The sequence below is a fragment of the Homo sapiens genome, chromosome 11 (assembly GCF_000001405.40).
Source record: "Homo sapiens chromosome 11, GRCh38.p14 Primary Assembly".
Lineage (NCBI taxonomy): Eukaryota > Metazoa > Chordata > Mammalia > Primates > Hominidae > Homo > Homo sapiens.
In genome coordinates, this window is record NC_000011.10 from 59,488,642 (window position 1) to 59,498,233 (window position 9,592).

At 40.6% G+C, this 9,592-nt stretch overlaps 1 pseudogene; it reads left to right on the plus strand.

The window, feature by feature from the left end:
- OR4D8P (olfactory receptor family 4 subfamily D member 8 pseudogene) lies at positions 3,012 to 3,970 on the plus strand (annotated as a pseudogene).

The following is a 9,592-nucleotide window of genomic DNA, read 5'->3' on the forward strand; positions in this document are numbered from 1 at the left end:
CACTAACCAACCAGTACCTAACAAACACTGAATGTAATGATAAGCTCTTGGCGGGGCGCAGTGGCTCACGCCTATTACCCCAGCACTTTGGGAGGCTGCCACGGGTCATGAGGTCAGGAATTCGAGATCAGCCTGGCCAACATGGTGAAACCCCGTCACTACTAAAAATACAAAAATTAGCCAGGCGTGGTGGCACACATCTGTAATCCCAGCTACTGGGGAGGCTGAAGCAGGAGAATAGCTTGAACCCAGGAGGCAGAGGTTGCAGTGAGCCAAGATCATGCCACTGCACTCCAGCCTGGGCCAGACAGCAAGACTCCATCTCAAATAATAATAATAATAATAAGCTCTTTATTAGTAGAGTAAGAAATTTTTGGTACTAATAAAAACCTCCTTTCATTCCACACTCTCCCACTCTGTGCCAACCACACTGCATTTTCCAATATTCTTCTGTATAAGTATGTCATCTTCACTACTGACTGACTTTTTACAGGCTGTTTCCTTTGCATGATGTATCCTGCTTCCATTTCTTGGAAATTGATCATGACTGAGGGGAAAAACTCACCTCCTCTAGAAAACCTTCCTGCGCTATTCCCAGCTAGAGCTCTGCTGTGCTCCCACAGCACTATATTGGTACCAGCATCATCTCTCATGTGTGATTATAAACTTATATTTTTGTATTTTCCATTAGAGTGAAAAATGCTCCTGAGTAAGAACCTTGCTGTGGTCATGTGTATATGCAGAATTCCAACCACCCCACGAAGATCACAAAATGTGTGTTGAAGGGTTAAAGGGCTCATTGGCTAAATAAATGCCTTCTCACTTGCCCTGATAAATGCAGTCTCAGGAATGTAATCGAGTCCAACTTTAGAGAGTCAGGTTCCATTTTAATGGCATCAATTCTTGCTGCACAAACTTACTGAGATTGTTACAGAAGGGGTGGGAGATTGGTTGGGTTAAACTCATGCTAACCTCAAACTTATCTTGGAATTTTATTATTTTTTTATAAATATCTCATCTGGGACAGTTTTTCTGCCACCTTTACCCTAATGCAAAGACATAATTCTGGTCAACTGAATGCTTAAACAAAGATTGTATGTTGTAGCAGATGGAATGTTGGCTTTGGAGCTAAAAGAATCACATTGGAAGTTCAGTTCCATCACTTACCACTGTTGTGAGTTTGGGCAAATGAACTCACCTTTCTGAGCATCATTTCTTTATTGTAGGGAAGAAATAAAAAACTCTTCTTCATAGGAATAAATAAGACAACCGTTCACAGGACATTTTAACTCTTGGGGTATGAATACTAGAGGAGGATCATGACTCTCCAACTGGTTTTCTCCCAACCACCTACAAATGGACCTACTGATGGTGGAGACAGGAAAGGAGGAAGAACGGGACAGGAGAAAAAAGTAGATTACCAGTTGGTTCCCACCTTTTGACAGAGCCGGAAATTGGGGATCAACAATAAGACCCCAGGGTCAGTCTTGTAACCTCTTAAATGAATCTCCTCCTTAGCTCGGATCCCTCCTCCTCCCTGCTGGTTCAAACTGATAATGTCCACACTGAATCCATTTGATACAGTCCAGAGATGAGGAGTCAGAGCCCCAGTCATTCAGCTAGTTGATGGCAGAATAAGAACTAGATGGAACCAATGCTCCAATCTCCCAAATCCAGAGCTCTCTTCACTACATCTCACTGTCTCTCTCAGCAGGAAAATTCTTCCTTTTGGGAAAAAACTAATCACCTTTCAGATTTCCAAAATCACTGAAGGTTCTTATCAAAATGCGTTCCTGCACAGGGTAGAAAACTAACTGATAATAATAACAGTATTAATAATACAGCAGCAGCTAAAACAAAAATAAGAACCGGCTGATGGTCCTTTCACTTCTTACATCTAGAAAAATCAGAACCTTTTGACCTCCACAGCAGCATTAAGTAACAAGATGAGATGAAAATATTTTCTTAAAATAAACAGAAAACAAAATTATTACAATAACATATTTTAGTGCTATTCACTCTCAAAAGGACAAATACTGCACGATTCCACTTCTAAAATAGTCAAATTCATTGAAACTGAAAGTAGAATGGTAATTGCCAGGGGCTGATGGGAGAGGGAAGAGGGGAGTTGTTGGTCAATGTGCACAAAGTTTCAGTTATACATATACAAGATGTGTAAGTCCTAGGGAATTTCTGTACAACATTGTACCTATAGTAAACAGTCCTCTACTGGTACACTTAAAAATTTGTTAAAAGAATAGATGTCGTGTTAACTGTTTTTACCACAATCAAAAACATTAATTGTATTCTTTGAGATTTGTTTTTACATGTTGTTTCAAATCTGTTTCCTAATAGCAAATTTAACATGCTTTCAAATAAATATTAAGCAAAAAATCTGATTAGTGTAAAGTAGTGACAAGGACAAGTTGACTAAATGAAATCATAGGCTGCAATTTTAAGAAATCTGACAGAATACAACCAAGAGCTAGGAAATTGATCCGTGACACAGCAACATTGCAATAAGAAATAGAACAGCAAGATAAGACTCTCTTGAAGTCAACAGAATATTAGCTACTATGACTATTAAGTGTGTAGACTATAAGTTTCCTAATGGCTGGAACTATGTCTAACTTATCTTTGTATTTAACACTTCACAGTTCCTGGCAACCAATAAGTTTGCATGGATATAAAAATAAATAATAAATATAATAAAAATAATCAATTATATTAAATATAATATGTAAATGTCACTATTAAACATGATACGATTATTCTTTCCCAAAATAGTTTCATAGGAAAATAATTATTGAATGACTTTGCATGTGATAATTTGATCACCAAACTGATTGCTATCTTAAAAATGTGGACAATGCAGCAAATAGCGAACACTGCAATCACGAAGGAAGTTTCTGAATTGCATTCTAGTGTGCTTGGGAGGACAATAAAATAAACATCCCTGTGCTGTTGTATGACATAGCTTGAAACAAAAGAGAATAAAGAGGATGATTCAATGGAGATGAAAAACTGTACCAGGGTAAAAGAATTTATTTTCCTTGGCCTAACCCAGAATGGGGACACAAGATTGGTCCTATTTCTTTTCCTACTCTTGGTGTACATGACGACTCTGCTGGGAAACCTCCTCATCATGGTCACTGTCACCTGTGAATCTTGCCTTCACATGCCCATGTATTTTTTGCTCCATAATTTATCTATTGCCGATATCTGCTTCTACTCCATCACAGAGCCCAAGGTTCTGGTGGACCTTCTGTCTGAGAGAAAGACCATCTCCTTCAATGGTTGCTTCACTCAGATGTTTCTCTTCCACCTTATTGGAGGGGTGGATGCATTTTCTCTATCAGTGATGGCATTGGATCAATATGTGGCCATTTCCAAGTCCCTGCACTATGCGACCATCATGAGTAGAGACCGTTGCATTGGGCTCACAGTGGCTGCCTGGTTGGGGGGCTTTGTCCACTCCATTGTGCAGATTACCCTGTTGCTCCCACTCCCTTTCTGTGGACCAAATGTTCTTGACACTTTCTACTGTGATGTTCCCCAGGTTCTCAAACTCGCCCATACAGACATTTTCATACTTGAGCTGTTGATGATTTCCAACAATGGACTGCTCACCACACTGTGGTTTTTCCTGCTCCTGGTGTCCTACATGGTCATATTATCATTACTCAAGTCTCAGGCAGGATAGGGCAGGAGGAAAGTCATCTCCACCTGCACCTCCCACATCACTGTGGTGACCCTGCATTTTGTGCCCTGCATCTATGTCTATGCCCGGCCTTTCACTGCCCTCCCCACGGATAAGGCCATCTCTGTCACCTTCACTGTCATCTCCCCTCTGCTCAACCCTTGATCTACACTCTGAGAAACCATGAGATGAAGTCAACCATGAAGAGACTGAAGACTCTGACCTTCTGATAGGAAATAGACCAGTGCTTCCCTCCTTCTCACCACTTTTGAAAATGCTTGCCCAGCAAATACTTTCTACTCACTAATTGATTTCTAATTATTTTTTAGTCTACTAATAAGAAGCACATGACTTTCAAACATTCTGATTAGCAGGTCATAATAATGTAAAAAAGATGGGTTCTGTGTCACAGGAGAAAGTACAGAGATAAAATTGTTAGCAGGAGAGGTGTATATTGTTTTTGTAATTCAGTCTTGGAAAACCTAAAAGAAATGAAATCAAAATACACTCAGACATTTCCACTACAATCCTTTACTGCTGCCAGGAAGGGAGCTGAGACACATATTAGAAATATGATGCAGCTTGGGCATTAGGATTCCATAAGACCTTTCACAGAGTCATCATATCCTAATTAAAGAAACCACATCCAAGTTAAGTTCCTCCTCCAATCCTGTAAATGAACCAAATAAATATCACTGTTAGATTTTTTAATCTAAAGCCCACCTACCGATAGCTGAGAGCAGGTGCTTGGATCAGCATAGCTTGAGTTAGAACATGACCTCACCTATTGTGACCTCTATGACCTTGAACATAGTTCTAACCTGATCTTCCTCTGAACCCCAGGTCTGCTGGCCCCCGCTCCAGGACATTCCGTCAGTAGCCTGTGCTTGGCTGTAGCACAACCCTTGGGACCCTGTTTCAATTCCGTGTTCTCTTTCTCCCAATCTCCCCCAGTAGGATTATGCTTTATTTATTGTCATATCCCCAACACCTGGCACAAGTATAATATAATAAACGCTACTGAAAATTACTGAATTAAAACATTCAGTGAAAGACTACTGCCTCTCACTCATTTCTGCTACTCAAATCATTGGAAAGTATTGTTAAGAAAATAATTAAAAATGCTCACCATCATTGGCCATCAGAGAAATGCAAATCAAAACCACAATGAGATATCATCTCACACCAGTTAGAATGGCAATCATTAAAAAGTCAGGAAACAACAGGTGCTGGAGAGGATGTGGAGAAATAGGAACACTTTTACACTGTTGGTGGGACTGTAAACTAGTTCAACCATTGTGGAAGTCAGTGTGGCGATTCCTCAGGGATCTAGAACTAGAAATACCATTTGACCCAGCCATCCCATTACTGGGTATATACCCAAAGGACTATAAATCATGGTGCTATAAAGACACATGTACACGTATGTTTATTGTGGCACTATTCACAATAGCAAAGACTTGGAACCAACCCAAATGTCCAACAACGATAGACTGGATTAAGAAAATGGGGCACATATACACCATGGAATACTATGCAGCCATAAAAAATGATGAGTTCATATCCTTTGCAGGGACATGGATGAAATTGGAAATCATCATTCTCAGTAAACTATCACAAGGACAAAAAACCAAACACTGCATGTTCTCACTCAAAGGTGGGAATTGAACAATGAGAACACATGGACACAGGAAGGGGAACATCACACTCTGGGGACTGTTGTGGGGTGGGGGAAGTGGGGAGGGATGGCATTAGGAGATATACCTAATGCTAAATGACGAGTTGATGGGTGCAGCACACCAGCATGGCACATGTATACATATGTAACTAACCTGCATATTGTGCACATGTACCCTAAAACTTAAAGTATAATAATTAAAAAAAAGCATTAAAAAAAAAGAAAATAATTCATTTTTTACTCTCTGAAGACATGACTTCCTAAAAATGACTGAAATCTTTGAAGCTGCTTCGGACTGTGCATACTTATTCAAAAAGCTGGAATAAAATGGAAAATATTATTCGATATATCAAGTTGGTTTTTATTTGTTTACTTAATGTGCTATTACAGCTGCTGGGAGTTATTCTTTTGTTTTTTGTTTTGCCCATTTCTGGAGGTAGATCCTAGATATCTTAAAATTGTTGAAACTAGCAAAATGTGTATGTCGGTATACAAATCTCAATTCACAAATCAGATATGCAAAGGCCCTGAGATGGGGATGTGTCCACAAGGTCAAAGAAACAGCAAGGAGGCCCTTGGGACTAAGTGAGAAGAAGCAAGTAAGAGAGAGGAAGTGCCTGTAGTTGAGTTCAGAGAGATGGTAGGGTCATGGGGCCAGTTCATCGCAACTTTGTGGACCACTGCACAGCTTTTAGCTTTCACACTGAGTAAGATGTGGCACATTTGGAGGCCTTCAAGGAGCAGAAGAGGTGTAAGGACAAAAACCAGGCAGCAATTCAGAGCCTACTATAATAGCCCCATGAGAGAAAGAATGAAGACATGACTTAGAATGGTAATGGTGGTCATGGTGAGAAGTTTGAAAAACGTTGAAGGTCAAGTTGGCATGATTTGCAGATGAACCCAACATAGGTTTCCTGACTACTATGCATCCCGTGAGAACTCCATCATCCAATTTTGTCATCAGGCCATTGAAAGTTCCTTCATTCTCACCTACACGATCCCTTCAGATCCAATATCTCCTTCCAGTACTTATGTGTCACACTTCAGACTCATCTTGCATGCATGGGACTGCAAGAATAGAAACTTATTTCCCAGCAGAAGCCAGAGGTTAACCTCTTCTAGTCATATTGTAGGAGTCAGTATAGCTGTGGAATCTTCTTCAGGACTCACGCTCTCCAGAAAGCATCCAGGTAATCCAAGCTAGGAAAATAAATAAATTAAAATAAAATTAACTTTTTATATTCATGAATAAATGCTGTACCTGGAAATAATAATATAAAAAGTCAGGTTTTTGTTTTGTTTTCTTTGGTTGGTACCATTTATTGTGTCATTTATTTATATTTTCAAATCACTTAATAAATTTTTTTTAACATAGGCACCAGTTTTTCTTGGAGAAATGACTGATTTTAGGACTGGGGCAGGGAATATACAATATAAGCCTGGAGCACCTTTTAGCACCAAAAAACAAGGAAATGTTTAAAAAGCAAAACAGTGGAGGTATGTCAAAGGGGCACAGGAGCCAACTGAAAGAATTTCCCATGGCCAAAGTTGGAACGACAAAATACATAATGTAGTCAAGGATTATAACCCAAAGTATAAAATAAATATCCATGAGCCCAGTCATAAATAAACGATTAAATAAATCAATAAATGGAGGATAATAGACAAGTCTTGCATGCAGGAGAATTCCAAATAATGTATGTAGATTGTCCACCCTCAAGGACGTGGAGCATGACTCCCGATTTTTTTTTTAATTGAGACATGATCTCACTCTGTTGCCCAGGCTGGAGGGCAGTGGTGCATCTTGGCTTATTGCAGCCTCAACCTCCTAGGCTCAGGCGATCCTCCCACCTCAGCCTCACAAGTAGCTGGGACTATAGGCAGGTGCCACCATGCCTGGCTAATTGTTGTATTTTTAGTAGAGACAGGGTTTCACCCTGTTTCCCAGACTGGTTTCAAACTCCTGAGCTCAAACAATACTCCTGCCTTGGCCTCCCAAATTGCTGGAATTGCAGGCACAGGCCACCACACCCAGCCCCAACTCTCTAAGTGTGAGTTATAAATAGTTATCTCCTCTCTCCAAAGAGTACAGTTTTTTAAAATCCTGGGGAAACCTGACAAAGACTACCTCAGCCGGGTGTTCAAAGTTAACATCATCAGTGATCAATCATGTTAGTGGCATGTACCCTAATATGGTTTGACTATGTCCTCACCCAAATCTCATCTTGAATTGTAGTTCCCATAATTCCCATGTGTTGTGGGAGGGATTTGGTGGGAGATAATTGAATCATGGGGGTGGTTTCCTCCATACTGTTCTCATGGTAGTGAATAAGTCTCACGAGATCTGATGGTTTTATAAGGGGTTTCTCCTTTTTCTTGGTTCTCATTCTCTCTTCCCTGCCACCATGTAAGACATGACTTGCTCCTCCTTGCCTTCCGCCATGACTGTGAGGTTTCCCCAGCCATGTGGAACTGTGAGTCAATTAAACCTCCTTCCTTTATAAGTACCCGGTCTCTGGTATGTCTTCATCAGCAGTGCAAAAACACACTAATACATACCATTTGATATGATGTGATGAGAGTGGCATTTGGCCTCTGTGTTCTTTCTCCCAGACATCTGCAACCCCTGTCTAACCATGAGAAAATCATCAGGACCAGCCAAACTGAAGAACATCATATAACAGCAGTCCCCAACCTTTTTGGCATCATGGGCTGGTTTCACAGAGGATAATTTTTCCACAAATGAAGGTGGTGGGGAAGGTTTTGGGATGATTCATGTGCGTTACATATATCCTGCACTTTATTATTATTACATGTAATATACGATGAAATAATTATACAACTTGCCATAATGTAGAATCAGTGGTAGCCCAGGGCTTGTTTTTCTGCAACAAGATGGTCCCATCTGGGAATGATGGGAGACAGTGACAGATCATCAGGCGTTAGAGTCTTATAAGGAGCAACCAACCTAGATCCCTTGCATGCAGAGTTCACAGTATTGTTCCCACTCCTATAAGAATCTAATGTCCCCACTGATCTGACAGGAGGTGGAGCTCAGGCAGTAATGCCAGCAGTGAGGAGCAGCTGTAAATACAGATGAAGCTTCTGTCACTTGCTTACCCCCTACTCACCTCCTGCTGTGTGGCCTGGTTTCTAACAGGCCAAAAGCTGGTAACAGTTCATGGCCTGGTGGTTGGGGACCCCTGTTCTATACAATACTTGACAATGACTCTCAGTACTGTCAAGGTCATCAAAAACAAGGGAAACAATGGAAGCAATTATGGCCAATATTCCATTTTTAGAAGCTTAAAGCTGTAGATCTTAAAGATGGTCAAACAATGAAGCTAGCTATTGAGTAGAATCACATTTCTCACTGTGTGGCCATCTTGGTGTCTCGTTTCATTTGACTTTATTTTTCTTAGTATAGACAGCCAACCACACTACTCTGTCCTGTGCCTGCTTCAACCTCTTCCCAGACTGGGGATTCCTAGTCAGTAAAGTAAGTGTTGAGATCTGGAGAAGGGATGAGCCTTCCCCAAAGCTTGCATGCCCATGTACTGTTTGTTACTAAAGGTTCCATTTCCAGTTCTCTTTGTGCAAGTTGTTAGACTTGGAAATAGAATAGGATGGAAGACCGGGCAGTGAGTCCAGTGCCCTCGTCACCTCCAAGTTTCTCTGCACCATGGGCACTCGTGGAAGGGTGCCCTCTGATCGCCAAGAACAGCACTTTTTGGACTTTCTCAGGAATACAGCTTGACTTGTTTCCACACAACCTTTCTTCCTTTTGAAGCCAGAAGATAAGGGGATTAATTCTTTCAGTTGCCTCTGAAAAATTTTAGGCTCCAGACAAAATGTGTGTTCCTAAGCATATGTGTCTGAGTGACTTCTTAATTACTCCCACTGAAACAACCTCACCATCAGCAGAATTTTTCCACAACTGCATCCAACTGTAATCCCTCTGATAATTCTCACACTAGTTCTGGGATTAAGGAACTGGTAAATATGATGGGACACTGTGAATCAGTGTGGAAGAGCCAAGAAAATATCATTCCCTAAGTCCTTTCCACATTAAGATAGAAGAGATGCCATTGAAATAACCGGCCTTCAGAGGGGTGTTGAGCAGAATTTTCTGAAGTTGGATGATTCCTGAGATTCATGTGAACATTATTTAAGATGCTGGAATTCTTGGAAGAAGATTGCAGATTTTAGGTAAA